Here is a 17,335-nt window from a genome sequence, read left to right as displayed (position 1 = left end):
CGAAGTATACAGACCAGTGACACTATGAAGCAACCACATAAAACAAGTCTGCAAAATAACCAGTTAGCATCATGATGACAGGATCAGATTCACACATAACAGTATTAACCTTAAATGTAAATGGACTTAATGCCACAATTAAAATACATAAAATGGCAAGCTGGATAGAGTCAAGCCCCATTAATGTTCTGTCTTCAAGAGACACATCTCACATCCAAAGACACACATAGGCTCAAAATAAAGGGAGGGAGGAAAAATGGAAAACAGAAAAAAGCTGGGGTCACAATCCTGGTTTCTGACAAAACAGACTTTAAACCAACAAAGATAAAAAAAGAAGGCCATTACATAATGGTAAAGGATTCAATTCAACAAGAGCTAACTATCCTAAATATAAATACACCCAATATAGGAGCACTCAGATTCATAAAGCAAGTTCTTAGAGACCTTCAAAGAGACTTAGATTCCCACACAGTAATACTGGACACTTTAACACCCCACTGACAATATTAGATCATCAAGACAGAAAATTAACAAAGATATTCAGGACCTGAACTCAGCTCTGGATCAAGTGGACCTGATAGATATCTACAGAACTCTCCATCCCAAAACAACAGAATATACATTCTTCTCATCACATGGCACTCTAAAATTGATCACATAATTGGAAGTAAAACACCCCTCAGCAAATGCAAAAGAACTGAAATCAAACTGCTCAGACCACAGCACAATCAAGTTAGAACTCAAGATTAAGAAACTCACTCAAAACCACACAACTACATGGAAATTGAACAACCTGCTCCTGAATGACTCCTGAGTAAATAATGAAATTAAGGCAGATGTCAAGAAGTTATTTGAAATTAATGAGAACAAAGAGACAATGTACCAGAATCTCTGGGACACAGGTAAAGCAGTGTTAATGGGGAAATTTATAGCACTAAATCCCCACAACAAAAAGGTCTCAAATCAACAACTTAACATCACAACTAAACTAGAGGCCAGGCATGGTGGCTCATGCCTGTGATCCCAGCACTTTGGGAGGCCGAGGTGGGTGGAGTGCTTCAGCTCAGGAGTTTGAGACCAGCCTGGCTAACATGGTGAGATCCTGCCTCTACTAAAAATACAAAAATTAGCCGGTCATGATGGTGCAAGCCTGTAATCCTAGCTACTTGAGAGTCTGAGGCAGGAGAATTGCTTGAACCTGCGAGATGGAGGGTGCAGTGAACCAAGATCGCACCACTACACTCCAGCCTGGGCAACAGAGCGAGACTCCATCTCAAAACAAAAAAACAAAAAACAAAACAAACAACAACAGCAAAAAACTAGAGAACCAAGAGCAAACAAATCCCAAAGCTAGCAGGAGACAAGAAATAACCAAGATCAGAGCAGAACTGAAGGAAATACAGACATGAAAAAACCCTTCAAAAAATTAATCCAGGAGTTGTTTTTTTTTTTGAAAAAATTAATTGACTGCTAGCTAGACTAATAAAGAAGAAAAGAGAGAAGAACCAGATACAATCAGAAATGATAAGGGGGATATCACCACTGACCCCACAGAAATACAACCAACCATCAGAGAATACTATAAACACCTCTATGCACATAAACTAGAAAATCTGGAAGAAATAGATAAATTCCTGGACATATACACCCTCCCAAGACTGAACCAGGAAGAAATTGAATTCCTGAATAGATCAAGAACAATTTCTGAAATTGAGTCACTTACAAATAGCCTCCCAACCAAAATAAGCCCAGGACCAGACGGATTTATAGCTGAATTGTATCAGAGGTACAAAGAAGAGCTGGTACCATTTTTACTGAAACTATTTCAAGCAATTGAAAAGGAGCGACTCCTCCCTCATTTTATAAGGCCAGCATCATCCTAATTCCAAAACCTGGCAGAGATATGACAAAAAAAGAAAACTTCAGGCCAATATCCCTGATGAACATTGATACAAAAATTCTCAATAACATTAATACTGGCAAACCAAATCCAGCAGCACATCAAAAAGTTTATCCACCATGATCAAGTCGGCTTCCTCCCTGGGATGCACCATTGATTCAACATATGCAAATCAATAAATGTAATTCATCACATAAACAGAATGAAAGACAAACCACATGATTATCTTGACACAGAAAAGGCCTTTGATAAAATTCAACATCCTTTATGTTAAAAACTCTCAATAAACTAGGTATTGAAGGAACATACCTCTAAATGATAAGAGCCATATATGACAAACTCACAGCCAGTATCATACTGAATGGGCAAAAGCTGGAAGCATTTCCCTTGAAAACTGGCACAAGACAAGGATGCCTTCTCACCGCTCATATTCAACATAGTATTGGAAATTCTGGCCAGGGAAATCAGGCAAGAGAAAGAAAAAGCATATTCAAATAGGAAGAGAGGAAGTTAAATTATCTTTGTTTGCAGGTGGTGTGATCCTATATCTAGAAAACCCCATTGTCTCAGCCCAAAAGCTTCTTAAGCTGATAAGCAACTTGAGCACAGTTTCAGGATACAAAATTAATGTGCAAAAATCGCTGACATTCCTTTTCACCAACGACAGACAAGCAGACAACCAAATTATGAATGAACTCTGATTCTCAATTGCTACAAAGAGAATAAAATACCTAGGAACACAGCTAACAAGGGAAATGACTTCTTCAAGATGAACCACAAAGCACTGCTCAAAGAAATCAGAGAGGACACAAGCAAATGGAAAAACATTCCATGCTCATGGATAGGAGGAATCAATATCATGGAAGTAGCCATACTGCCCAAAGTAATTTATAGATTCAATGCTGTTCCCCTTAAACTACCATTGACATTCTTCACAGAATTAGAAGAAACTATTTTAAAATTCATATGGAACAACAAGAACAAAAAGCCCAAATAGCCAAGATAATTCTAAACAAAAAGAACAAAGCTTGAGGCATCATGCTACCTGACTTCAAAGTATACTACAAAGCTACAGTAACCAAAACAGCATGGTACTTGGACAGAAACAGACACATAGACCAATGGAACAGAATAGAGAACTCAAAAATAAGACCACATAGCTATAACCATCTGATCTTCGACAAACCTGACAAAAGCAAGCAAAGGGGAAAAGATTCCCTTTTTAATAAATGGTGCTAGGAGAACTGGCTAGTCATATGCAGAAAGTTGAAACTGGACCCCTTCCTTATACCTTATACAAAAATTAACTCAAGATGGATTAAAGATTTAAATATAAAACCCAAAACTATAAAAACCCTAGAAGAAAATCTAGGCAGTACCATTCAGAACATCAGCACTGGCAAAGATTTCACAATGAAAATGCTAAAGCACAGCAACAAAAGCAAAAGTTGACGAATGGGATCTAATTGAACTAAATAGCTTCTGCACAGCAAAAGAAACTATCATCAGAGTGAACAGACAACCTACAGAATGGGAGAAAATTTTTGTACTCTATCCGTCTGACAAAGGTCTAATATCCAGAGTCTACAAGAAACTTAAACAAATTTACAAGAAAAAAAACCCCATTAAAAGCTGGGCAAATGACATGAACAAATGCTTCTCAGAAGGAGACACACATGCAGCCAAGCAAACATGTAAAAAAAGCTCAACATCACTGATCATTAGAGAAATGCAAATTAAAACCACAATGAGATAATTAAGATGTCAAGAAACAACAGGTGCTGGTGAGGTTGTGGAGAAAAAGGAATGCCTTTATACTGTTGGTGGAAGTGTAAATTAGTTCAGCCATTGTGGAAGACAGTGTGGTGTGATTCCTCAAAGAGATAGAGGTAGAAATACCATTGGGCCCAGTAATCCCATTACTGGTTATTTACCCAAAGAAATATAAATCATTCTGTTATAAAGATAATGCATGCATATGTTCATTGCAGCACTGTTCACGATAACAAAAACTGGAATCAACCCAAATGCCCATCAATGATAGACTGGATAGAGAAAATGTAGTACATATACACCATGGAATACTATGCAGCCATAAAAAGTAACGAGATCATGTCCTTTGCAGGAACATGGATGAAGCTGGGAGCCATAATCATCAGTAAACTAACACAGGAACAGAAAACCAAACACTGCATGTTCTCACTTATAAGTAGGAGCTGAATGATGAGAACACATGGACACATTGCGGCGGGGTGTGGGGGAACAACACGCACTGGGGCCTGTCAGGAGGGTAGGGAGAAAGAAAGCATCAGGAAGAATAACTAATGGATGCTGGGCTTAATATCTAGGTGATGGGATGATCTGTGCAGCAAACCACCACAGCACACATTTACCTATGTAACAAACCTGCACATCCTGCACGTGTACCCCAGAACTTAAAAGTTGAAGAACAAAAGATTTTTGTAAAAAAAGCAACTTCATTTTGTTGATCCTTTGTATTTTTTTAAGTCTATTTTGTTTAATTCTGCTTTGATCTTTATAATGTCTTTCCTTCTACTTATTTTGTGTTTGTTTTGTTCTTGCATTTTTTAGTTCCTTAAGGTTCATTGTTAGGTTGTTTATTTGAAGTCTTTCTCTTTTTTTTTTTTTTTTTTTTTGATGTAGGCATTTACTGCTATATATTTCCCTGTTAGCACTGCTTTTGCTGTGTTCCATAGGTTGTGGTACATTGTGTTTTCATTTCTGTGTGTTGCAATAAATTTCTTAATTTCCTTCTTAATTTCTGCATTGACTTGTTTTTTTTTCAGGAGCATGTTGTTTAATTTCCATTTATTTGTACCATTTCCAAAGTTTCTCTTGTTATTAATGTCTGTTTTATTCCATTGTGTTCAGAAAAGTTACTTGATATTATTTTGATTTATTTGAATTTATTGAGACTTATTTTGTGGCCTAACATATGGCCTATCCTGGAAAATATCCTGTGTGCTAATGATAATATTCTGTGTGCTGATGAGAAGAATATATACTCTGTAGCTGTTAGATGGAGTGGTCTGTAAATGTCTGTTAGGTCCATTTGGTCTAAAGTGAAATTTAATTCCAATGTTTCTATGTTGATTTTCTGGCTAGATGAGCTATCTAATGCTGTGAGTAGGTGTATGTGTGTGGTTTTTTTTTTTTTTTTTTTTTTTTTGAGACGGAGTTTTGCTCTGTCACCCAGGCTGGAGTACGGTGGCATGATATCGGCTCACTGCAACCTCCGCCTCCCAGGTTCATGTGATTCCCTGCCTCAGCCTCCCAAGTAGCTGGGATTACAGGTGCCTGCCACCATGCCCAGGTACTTTTTGTATTTTTAGTAGAGATGGGGTTTCACCATCTTGGCCAGGCTGGTCTCGAACTCCTGATCTTGTGATCCACCCGCCTCGGCCTCCCAAAGTGCTGGGATTACAGGCGTGAGCCACCATGCCTGGCCTGCTGTGAGTAGGTTTTAAAGTACCCAAATATGACTGTATTGGAGTCTGTCTCTTCCTTTAGATCTAGTAATGTTTGCTTTATATATCTGGGTGCTTCAGTGTTGGGTGCATATATATTTAGAAATGCAATATTCTGTTGATGAATTAATTGCTTTGTCATTATATTATGATTTTCATTGTCTTTTTACTGTTGTTGTTTGCTGTCTTATCTTTTAAGTAGGACATTTAATCCATTCACAGGTAGGGTTATTATTGAGATGTTATTATGAGATGTGAGGACTCATTCCTGAAATGAATCCTCTCCATTTTTGTTTGGGAGAGACTTTATTTCTCTTTTATTTATGAAAGATTCCTTGGCTGGGTATAGAATTCTTGTTAGGCAGGTTTTTGTTTTATTTTCCTCTCAGCACTTTGAATATATCATCCCATTCTCTCCTGGCCTGTAAAGTTTCTGGTGAGAAATCCTTTGTTACTCTGATGAGACGTCCCTTGTATGTGACTAGGCACTTCTCTCTGCCTTTAACTTTTGACAGTTTGACTATAATGTGACAGAAGACCTTTTGGGGTTGTTATCTATTTGTGGGTGTCTGAGCTTCCTGTATCTGGATGTCTAAATGTCTTGCTATACTTGGAAAGTTTTCAGTCATTATTTTGGTAAATAGGTTTCTTATGCCATTGATCTTCTCTTCACCTTCTGGAGCACTGAAATCCATATATTTGGTTGCTTTATGATGTCCCATGTGTCATGTAGACTTTGCGTTCTTTTTCATGGTTTTTTTGGTTGTTGTTTTCGGGGTTTTTTGTTATTGTTGTTTGACTGAGAACATTCCATATGCTGATGAGAAGAATGTGTATTCTGCAGCAATTGGATGAAATGCACATATATTTATTTTTTTTGTTTGTTTTGTTTTTTAATTTTTAAAAAAACGAGATGGGGTCTTGCTATGTTGACCAGGCTGGTCTCGAACTCCTGGCCTCAAGTGATTCTTCCATCTCTGCCTCTTAAAGTGCTGAGATTATAGGCATGAGCCACCATGCCTGTCCGTGTTTTTATGCTTAAGTGATCCCTTTATCGTTATATAATGACTTTCTTTGTTTCTTTCTTTTTTTCTCCACATTGTTTTCCATAGTGGCTGTACTAGTTTATATTCCCACCAGCAGTGTAGAAGTGTTCCCTGTTCACTGCATCCACGCCAACATCTATTGTTTTTTGACTTTTTTTTTACTATGGCCATTCTTGCAGGAGTAAGGTGGTATCGCATTGTGCTTCTGATTTGCATTTCCCTGATCATTAGTGATGTTGAGCATTTTTTCATATGTTTGTTGGCCATTTGTGTATCTTCTTTTGAGAATTGTCTATTCATTTCCTTAACCCACTTTTTGATGGGATTGTTTGCTTTTTTCTTGCTGATTTGAGTTCATTGTAGATTCTGGCTATTAGTTCTTTGTCGGATGTATAGATTGTGAAGATTTTTCTCCCACTCTGTGGGTTATCTGTTTACTCTGCTGACTCTTCCTTTTGCCATGCAAAAGCTCTTCAGTTTAATTAAGACCCAGCTATTTATCTTTGTTTTTATTGTATTTGCTTTTAGGTTCTTGGTCATGAAATCCTTACATAAGCCAATCTCTAGAAGGGGTTTTCCAATGTTATCTTCTAGAATTTTTATAGTTTCAGGTCTTATATTTAAGTCCTTGATCCATCTTGAGTTGATTTTTGTATAAGGTGAGAGATGACAATCCAGTTTTCATTTTCCTACATGTGACTAGCCAATTATCCCAGCACCATTTGTTGAAAAGGGTGTCCTTTCCCCCTTTATGTTTTCGTTTGCTTTGTCAAAGATCACTTGGCTGTAAGTATTTCGGTTTACTTCTGGTTTCTCTATTCTTTTTTATACCAGTACCACACTGTTTTGGTGGCTATGGCCTTATAGTATAGTTTGAAATCAGGTAATGTGATGCCTCTAGGTTTGTTGATTTTGCTTAGTCTTGCTTTGGCTATGTGGGCTCTTTTTTGGTTCCATATGAATTTTAGAATTGTTTTTTCTAATTCTGTGAAGAATGATTGTGGTATTTTGATGGGAACTGCACTGAATTTTTAAATTGCTTTTGGCAGTATGGTCATTTTTACAATATTGATTCTATCCATCCATGAGCATGGGATGTGTTTCGATTTGTTTATGTCATCTATGATTTCCTTCAGCATTGTTTTGTAGTTTCCCTTGTAGAGGTCTTTCACCTCCTGGGTTAGGTATATTCCTAAGCATTTTATTTTTTGCAGCTATTGTGAAAGGGGTTGAGTTTTTTATTTGTTTCTCAGCTTGGTTGCTGTTGGTGTATAGCAGAACTACTGATTTGTGCACATTAATTTGGTATCCAGAAACTTTGCTGAATTATTTTATTAGTTCTAGGAGCTTTCTGGAGGAATTGTTAAGGTTTTCTAGGTAAACAATTATATAATCAGCAAACAGCGACAGTTTGACTTCCTCTTTACTGATTTGGATGCCCTTGATTTATTTCTCTTGTCTGATTGCTCTGGCTAGGTCTTCCAGTACTATGTTGAAGAGGAGTGGTGAGAGTGGGCATCCTTGTTCCATTTTTCAGAGGGAATGCTTTCGACTTTTCCCCATTCAGTATTATGTTGGCTGTGGGTTTGTCAAAGATGTCTTTTATTACATTGAGGTATGTCCCTTGTATGCCGATTTTGCTGAGAGTTTTAATCAAAAAGTGATGCTGGGTTTTGTCGAATGCTTTTCCTGCATCTGTTGAGATGATTATGTGATTTTTGTTTTTAATTCTGTATATGTGGTGTATCACATTTATTGACTTGCATATATTAAACCACCTCTGCATCCCTGGTATGAAACCCACTTGATCAAGGTGGATTGTCTTTTTGATATGTTGTTGGATTCTGTTAGCTAGTATTTTGTTAAGGATTTTAGCATCTATATTCATCAGAGATATTGGTCTGTAGTTTTCTTTTTTGGTTATGTCCTTTCTTGGTTTTGGTATTAGGGTGATAACTGGCTTCATAGAAAGACTTAGGAGGGTTCCTTCTTTGTCTATCTTGTGGAATAGTGTCAATAGGATTGGTGCCAATTCTTCTTTGAATGTTTGGTAGAATTCTGTTGTGAATCCGTCTGGTCCTGGACTTTTTTTTGTTGATAATTTTTAAATTACCATTTCAATCTTGCTGCTTATTATTGGTCTGTTCAGGGTATCTAATTCTTCCTGATTTAAGGTAGGAGGGTTGTATCTTTCCAGGAATTTATGCATCTCTTCTGGGTTTTCTAGTTTATGTGCATAAAAGTGTTCATAGTAGCCTTGAATGATCTTTTGTATTTTTGTGGTATCAGTTGTAATATCTCCTGTTTCATTTCTTTTGAGTTTATTTGGATTTTCTCTCTTCTTTTCTTGGTTAATCTTGCTTATGGTCTGTCAATTTTATTTATCTTTTCAATGAACCAGGTTTTTGTTTCATTTATCATTTGTGTTGTTTTTTGTTTTAATTTCATTTAGTTCTGCTTTGACCTTGGTTATTTCCTTTCCCCTGCTAGGTTTGGGTTTGTTTTATTCTTGTTTCTCTAGCTCCTTGAAGTGAGGCCTTAGATTGTCTATCTGTGCTCTTTCAGACTATCTGATGTAGTCCTTTAGGGCTATGAACTTTCCTCTTAGCACTGCCTTTGCTGTATCCCAGAGGTTTTGATAGGTTTTGTCACTATTGTCATTCAGTTCAAAGAATTATTTAATTTCAGTCTTGATTTCATTGACCCAGTGATCATTCAGGAGCAAGTTAATTTCCATGTATTTGTGTGGTTTTGAAGACTCCTTTTGGAGTTGATTTCTGTGGGGGCCTGTCTTGCAGACCCTGATTCAATGACAGATGAATAACGTACACTGACACAGATATTATGCTTGTCAATCTGGCCAAGGGTCCGGGCCACTTACAGACTCTAAGGAGAGTGCTGTCAGCCACAGCCCTGACTCTCTGGCCCTCCTGGCATTTATTCAGTACACATTAAATGACAGAAGTCTCAAGTAAACACCATTAGAGGGTAATCAACCTGGTCTCCTTCCACTCCTGCCCCCCACTGCCAGCGCTCCACCCCTCCCAGCGCTATCCTGCCCGCAAATGATCAAAGGTTAGTTTTAGAACCACATGAGTAAACAAGCTATTTAGATAAACTACTCTACATTCCTGTTAATTACCCTTGCTATAGCTCAAAGAGGATTAGGCTGCCTTCAGCCATAACTCTGTCCTGAAGCTTTTGCAAAAAGCTTTTGGCCTTCCAAGAAGGTTTGTGTTTTATTTTATAATTTTCCCCACCATTCTGACTGAACCCCTACATCTCTCCCTTTTCTGTTTTCTGCATTGGGTCTTATTGATTGGAGAGTGCAGATGTATGCAGCAACAGGTTTGTCAGGAGTGGCAGTGATTGCTCTTATTCTGGCTTTGCATCCTAGAATTAGTAAATAACATAAGACAATCATGAGTATAATTAGCAACATTCTCTGCTAGTCAAAGAGTGACCCCCAGGAGTGGGGGTCTAACCAGGAGAGATGATCTTGCACACCCTTCCATATGGCTGTTTGTTGGGTGTGTAGATCTATAGTGTGAAGGGATTCTAAAATTTTAGTTTTAAGTTGCTTTACGTCTGCTGTTAAATTCCCCAGAGGTGTTGTTTCACCTCATCCCAACTATGCATTGATTGATTCCATGGTAGAGAAGTGACACAGATATGCTTATGCTCCCAGTTGCAGCTTAATTGCTGTTGGAATGCCAGTGCATCTTGTGGCTCCCCCACATATTTTAAAGCAGCCTCAAGGGCTTGCAGACGTGCAAGAATTTTTTGATCTATACCCTGCTATAAGAGAAGTTCATTAGACACGTTTTTGGCCAGATTATCTACAAAGGCAGCTGTTTATACTGACTCAGTAATAGATGCCACAGCAATGCTAGCAGTTGCTAGGATGACTATGGCTGAGACTATAAAGGCCATAAATGTAACTATGAATCTTTTGTGTCTGACCTGGGACAGGGTACGCTCTAAGGTGGCAAGGGCAGAGGATCCTTGCCAATCGCATGTCAAATTGACTGGTAGGAATGCCTCAGATTATCTCCTTAGTACCATGACACTAGTAATATTTAGATCAGATATATTGTAATTAATGATACATGAGGTGAACCAAGTCTGTCCCTGCACCCGGGTCACAAATGTGGAGTTTTGGGGTGAAATAGAAATATTGGTTCCCATAAGGAAAACATGGATGGGTAGTGCAAATCAGTTACTAATCAGCGTAACTGATCAGTATGAATAAAGGTTATAGTATAGTTGTTACCGGAATTATGATATGTTCCATGCCAGGTGTCAAGGGAGGTGCCAAGATGTCCCAGGTGCCATAAAGTGTCTTGAGGTGGCATGGAATTTACTTGGGGTCTGGGATATTGCATCGCCCCATTGGCCCAAATCATAGGGGAATGGGACATGGCTACAAAACTGTGATTGATGCCTTGACAGAGGAGGACATTAGTAAGGCTGCCCTGCAAATGGCCATGGGGACTCCAGTCTAAGATGTTATAATTGCCTAACTGGAGGCTATGGGCTTGTCCCCTGTGACAGACCTCCCAGCTAAAGTAAAATCCAGTACTTTCCCAGTTTTGTCCTTTAGCACAGGAAGGAATGTTTGGGAAAGTGGCATTGATTGCATTACCTGGTTTGAGGCTACCTGTAGCTAAGGCTGTTAAGGCATTTTCTTTGCCATGATATGGTCATAATTGTGTTTGGGCAGATACACAGTAAGTGTTAGAACCTTTATAACTTACACACAGTGGGAAGATAGTGGAGTGATATGTAGTGTTATCTGGCACCTTAGTCCAATGTATGCCATTACTGAGGGACCCCACTGGGGGTAAATCTATCCCTCCTAGCCAAGCACTTATGTTATTATAGGCTGGGAAGGGGATGTCTGCCCAGGTGACAGGGCGAAAGAAAGGCGGGTCTAAGATAAGAGCCAGTAGAGTGTAGCAGGTACAGTTTGCAGACAAAGCAAGAGCATAAAAAGGATCAATACCCTATGTGAGTTGCAATGTACAACAGAGAGCATAGCAAGGAACAAATTATCTGAAGTAAATGGTGTCTGTGTCTGGAGCAGAATTCATTCAGCCTCCTGAGTTGTCCTCTTCAGCATCCCCCAGGTGACGTCCGGGGCTTGTGTCATCCATGGAAGCCTCATCGTCTGGGGCTGTGGATCCTGTAGGGTCAGTTCCTTCATCTCCGGTACCAGGTTGGATCCTAGCCACACCATGGTATGGTTTAATGCATCATGCTGGAATTCAAAGAGGACCTGAGGGGGTATGGACACAAGCCTACCCTCTTCCCCACATTAACAATTCATTTGGATCACACCATTCATTACTGTTTACATCTTTCCATAAAACTGCAGGCTTTATGTCTTGAGAGGTTTTAGCAAAGTGCTTTTCTACAGCTGATTGAAATTCGTCATCTAAATTTAGAAAATTAAGGGTAAATAAGGCTTGTGCCAATAGTGTTGGAGGGTTTTTACTCATACTCCCCCTCTTCTGGCTGTTTTCTGGGCATATTTTTAAGGGTGGAGTGGGCACGTTCTACTATGGCTTGTCCTTGGGGGTTATATGGGATGCCTGTGGAATGTTGGATATTCCACTTGTGACAAAATTGTTGAAATTGTGAGCTGGCATAAGCTGGACCATTTTCAGTTTTAATTTTTTAATTTTTTAATTTTTGTGGGCTGCCCCATAAATGCAAAAGTTAAAAGATGTTTAATGATATACCAAGTGGACTCTCTAGGAAGGGTGTGTGCACTAATTAGATGAGTGTTGGTATCAACGGATACATGTACATATCTAAGTTTTCCAAATTCAGGGACGTGTGTAACATCTGTTTGCCATAACTGATGAGGTTCTAATCCTCTAGGGTTAACACCTGTGGAAGGAGGCCAGGGAGCTGACAATCTGGGCATTGTGGGATAATTTGTTTAGCCAGCCTCTGAGTAAGTTGAAATTGTTTAGATAAATTTCTCCAATTTTGGTGGAAAGATTGATGCAATTGGGTGGCTTGGTCAAGCAGTGATGTCATAACTTGTAGGTCTTGTTCGTTGCCATAAGCCAATGGGCCAGGCAGAAAGCTGTGGCCTGGAATGTGTGTGATAAAAATAGGATGTGTACATTGATCTAGGAATTGCTGAAATCAAAGAAAAAGAGCACACAGGGTGGGCTCAAGAGCGGACTTAATTAAGGCTGTTTTGAGGGTTCTGCAATAAATAAACAGTGTAAGCCAAGTCATTTACAATATTTATGGGCTGAGTGGAAAAAGTTTCTAAGGCCAGTATCAGGGCCCCAGTCTCAGCTCTCTAAGTGCTAGTAAACCCAGATCGAGTGATTGAATTATGTGGTCTCTACCAGACTGCTGCTTTTCCATGTTTACCAGAACCATCAGTAAACAGTGTTAAAGCATTAGGTATGGGGGAGTGAACTATTTTTGTGGGTAAGATTACCAGGGTATGAGATAAGAAATAAAGGAGTTTATCAGCAGGAAGTATGTGCTCTATTTGTCCTGTGTAATCAGAGAAAGCTATTTGCAGATTAATAGATACTGGCAATACTGCTTTGAATTGCTTTTTACTTAAAGGAATCCTGATGACATCAGGGTCATAACCTAGTGACTGATTGCATTGTTTGTGGCCTGAATAGATGACTTTAGTAAGTAACTGACTATAGGGAGATAGTGTTTTAGTCCCGGTATGTGGCAAAAAACCCATTCTAGGAAGCATAGCCCGGGGGCCATCTGTCCTATTAACCCTGTAGGGGAGTGTTTGGTGAGAAAGATAAAACAATTGGATTGAATAACGTGGATCAATGCGATCTAGCTGCCCCTGAGAGACGGCTTGTTCTATTTCCTCAATTTCCCTTTTTGCTGCAGGGGTTAAATATCTGGGAGAATACCGGTTGCTAGTTGCTAGTCTTTAATTTAACCTTCTGAGGTCTTACTGACTGGAAAGTTAATACGTACCCAAGATATTTCCAAGGAGAGGACATTTTTACTTTTTCAGGTAAATGATTAAATCTCTTAGCTGTGTATTTCTTTACGACAGAGGAATATAAATTTAAAAGTATTGGCTCCGTTGGGGCTGCTAGTAGAATATCATCCATAAAATGAATAATCTTGCAATCAGGAAATTATTTTCTACTAGGGAGCAAGGCTTGATTTACATGATACTGACACATGGCAGGACTATTTAGCATTCCTTGAGGAAGCACTTTCCAATGAATTCGACAAGCTGGCTTTTCTTTATTGATAGCTGATATTGTAAATGAATTTTTCTCTGTCCTGTTCTGCTAGGGGAATCATATAAAAACAATCTTTTAAGTCAATAATGATTATAGGCTAATCTTGAGGAATCGCCGTGGGGGAAGGGAGCTGCTGCTGAAGTGGTCCCATAGGTTGCAAATTGGCATTAATAGCACGTAGGTCATGCAAAAGTCTTCATTTCCCAGACTTTTTGGGAATGACAAAAATGGGTGAATTCCAAGGGCTGTTAGATAATTCGACATGCCCAGCTTTCAATTACTCTTCAACTAATTCATGGGCCCTCTGTAATTTCTCTCCCTTCAGAGGCCACTGTTCTACCCAAATCGGATCTTGAGAGAGCCACATCAGGGGTAGGGGAGGAATAATAACAGTGGCCATTGTTTGAAAGGGGTCTGCAGAGTAACCCCCCATTGGGCTAATAGGTCCCATCCCCAAAGATGAACAGGGATGGCCATGATTAGAGGTTGTATAACTGCCTTTCTTCCTTCTGAATCATAGCATGTTAGGGGGCGTGTGCTCTGCTTGGCTGTGTGTGCTTCCATGATGCTGACAATTTTCTGTTTCTGACTGACCCAAAGCCAAGTTTCTGGCCAGTTTTGATCACTAATGATTGAAATGTCTGCCCCTGTGCCCAGTAAGCCAGTAAAATTCTTATTTCCAATTTCTTCATGGGTCCTTGATCAGTGATTAATTGATTCCAATATACTCCTGTGGCTCCTGTGCTCCCAAAACTTCCCTTCCCCCTTTCCTTTCCATAGAGACTGGGGACCCAGTATGATAAAATCAGTAACTGAGCTATCTTTGATCCAGGGGGAAGAATATGCAGACCTTTACAGTCCATCATAACCAATATCTCTCTGTGATAATCACTATCAATTACCACGGTGAGCACATTAATTCCTTTACTAGATAGGCTAGACCACCCTAGGACTAATCCCACTGTTCCTGGAGGCAGCAGGCCCCAGATCCCGGTTGCAACCCTTTTAGGGTCTTCTCCTTCTTTTAGCATTAATTTGTTGAGGCAGAGTAAGTCCAGTCCTGTGCTCCCTGTGGTGGCTGCTCTGAGAGAGAGGACTGTGGGCTTCCCATCTGATCGAGGAAAGCTGCTGGCATTGCCCCAGTTGCGAGCGGGGCCTGGGGCTTGCTCCTACTGAAGTTGCCTGACTGGTTTTTTATGGGGTTGGCGTTTTTATCAAATTTACACATGCACTGATTTGCCCAATGTTTCCCCTTCCTACATTGGGGACATATAGAAGAGGGTTCTTTCCCTGAATTACCTTGGTCTCTACTATGGGAGCATTCCCTCTTCATATGACCTGGATCTCCGCATAGAAAACAATTTGGGTTTCTCTCCCTTTTCACTTTAGGAGGCCTTAATGCCATAGCCAATATTTTGGCTTTGTTTGTCTCAGTTCCTACCAGCTGACACGCTCATAGAAGCTCCCCAACTGTGGCTGCCTTTCCTTTGATTGCCTGCATTGCCTGCTGCACATTAGCGTTTTCAAAAGACAGTTGCAACGATAAGATATCAGCAGCTTGGGTGTGACTAGTATGTCTCTTAATTGCCTGGGTTAACCGATTGATAAACTCAACAAATGGCTCTTGAGGCCCTTGTCAAACATTTACGAAAGATCCCTGTTGAACTCCACTTTTGGGAATTCCGTCCCAAGCCCTGAGAGCACACAAAGACACTTGAGCATAGGCCTGGGGATCAAAATCTAGTTGTTGTACATTGGCATGAGGACCCCTCCCTTGGAGCATATCAGCTGTTATGTCTTGGCCGGCCACCTGATTCTGGTTGGCTTGTTCGTACAACTCATTGTATTCTGCCTTCCAGAGGAGGTATTGGCTAGGCTACAAAGTTGTTTTAGCTAGCATTGACTAGTCCCATGGGGTCATATGCAAGTGGCCTGCCAAGGCCTTAATCATTCCTTTCGTAAATGGGCTAGCGGCTCCATTTTCTTTAACGCTTTTTCTTGGCTCTTTATAAGGTTAAAAGAAACAAGTTGTGGCCAGGTGCGGTGGCTCATGCCTGTAATCCCAGCACTTTTGGAGGCTGAGGCGGGTGGATCACGAGGTCAGGAGATTGAGACCATCCTGGCTAACATGGTGAAACCCCATCTCTACTAAAAATACAAAAAATTAGCCGGGCGTGGTGGTGGGCGCCTGTAGTCCCAGCTACGCGGGAGGCTGAGGCAGGAGAATGGTTTGAACCCAGGAGGCGGAGCTTGCAGTGAGCCGAGATCGCGCCACTGCACTCCAGTCTGGGCAACAGAGTGAAACTCCGTCTCAAAAAACAAACAGCTGGAGTGTGTTTCTTGTCTTTTTTCTTACTTATTGGAGGAGGGGGCTCAGGCAAAACCTCCATTTCCTCTCTGTTATTTTGGCCCGGTGATGGTGGGGCTGAGGGAAAAGGAGGCAGTAAGGCAGGCGACATTTCCTCCTCCTTCCCCTTTTTAGGCTTTTCTGTGTATAATGGGACCAAAGCTGTCCTTACTAGAGCCCATAGTGTTAAAGATGATGCTGGGACCTGTTGCCCTTGTGCATAATGCTGTTCAAGATTTCTCCCCACTTGTTCCCAGCATTCTACATCTAGCGTGCCTTCTTTCGGGAACCATGTGTTATGGTTTACTACAGTTTGCATTAGGTCTCTTAACTGAGCCTGTGAAACGGGCTCCACTAGCCTTAAGCAGCTGTTTCAACACTTTTATATACTGTTTCTGTTGAGCTAATAACTGTTGTCCCATGATGAAACCTCAGCCTGAACTTGGAGATCCCAAGCGGGCACCAATGACTTACTGATTACTCACTTGACCACATGGTCCTTTTCACTTTCATTTCAAGGGGTCCGTCATGCTTCCTTTGCAGTGTTGGTCACATCGGGGTCACCACCTGTGGGGGACTGTCCTGCAGACCCTGACTTAACGACAGATGAATAACGTACACTGACACAGATATTATGCTTGTCATTCCAGCTTGAAGGTCCAGGCCACTTACAGACTCTAAGAAGAGTGCTGTCAGCCCCGGCCCTGACTCGCTGGCCCTCCCAGTATTTATTCAGTACACATTAAATGACAAAAGTCTCAAGTAAACACCATTAGAGGGTAATCAACCTGGTCGCCTTCCTCCATTCCCCTCCCCACAGAGCGTTATCCTGCCCACAAATGATCAAAGGTTAGTTTTAGAACCACATGAGTAAACAAGCTATTTAGATAAACTACTCTACATTCCTGTTAATTACCCTTGCTATAGCTCAAAGAGGATTAGGCTGCCTTCAGCCATAACTCTATCTTGAAGCTTTTGCAAAAACCTTTTGGCCTTCCAAGAAGGTTTGTGTTTTATTTTATAATTTTCCCCACCATCCTGACTGAACCCCTGCAGATTTCCAGTTTTATTCCACTGTGGTCTGAGAGAGTGCTTCATATAATTTCAATTTTCTTAAATTTATTGAGGCTCGTTTTGTGGCCTATCAATCATATGGTCTATCTTGGAGAAAGTTCCATGCACTGTTGAATAGACTGTTTATTCTGTGGTTGTTGGATGGAATGTTCTGTATGTATCTCTAAGTCCATTTGTTCCAGGGTATAGTTTAAATCCATTGTTTCTTTGTTAACTGTCTT

The 17,335-nt window shown here is 40.2% G+C and overlaps 1 protein-coding gene across 7 annotated transcripts in view, besides 2 other annotated features; it reads left to right on the top strand.

Moving 5' to 3' along the window:
• Positions 1-17,335, top strand: part of CPLANE1 (ciliogenesis and planar polarity effector complex subunit 1) — a 173,708-nt gene that overhangs the window by 145,896 nt on the left and 10,477 nt on the right. The gene's annotated exons all lie outside the window — the stretch shown is intronic.
• Positions 9,227-9,806: an enhancer, noted in NCBI's record as "NANOG hESC enhancer chr5:37093777-37094356 (GRCh37/hg19 assembly coordinates)". NCBI's record gives its function as "activates a minimal SCP1, AML or CMV promoter by ChIP-STARR-seq in naive and primed H9 embryonic stem cells {active_cell/tissue: H9 hESC(naive and primed)}" and the evidence as "EXISTENCE:reporter gene assay evidence [ECO:0000049][PMID:30033119]".
• Positions 16,412-17,196: an enhancer, noted in NCBI's record as "OCT4-NANOG hESC enhancer chr5:37086387-37087171 (GRCh37/hg19 assembly coordinates)". NCBI's record gives its function as "activates a minimal SCP1, AML or CMV promoter by ChIP-STARR-seq in naive H9 embryonic stem cells {active_cell/tissue: H9 hESC(naive)}" and the evidence as "EXISTENCE:reporter gene assay evidence [ECO:0000049][PMID:30033119]".

This window comes from Homo sapiens, chromosome 5 (assembly GCF_000001405.40).
Source record: "Homo sapiens chromosome 5, GRCh38.p14 Primary Assembly".
NCBI classification, from domain to species: domain Eukaryota; kingdom Metazoa; phylum Chordata; class Mammalia; order Primates; family Hominidae; genus Homo; species Homo sapiens.
The sequence above is the reverse complement of the archived record's forward strand: the minus strand, read 5'-3'. Positions and strand labels throughout refer to the sequence as shown.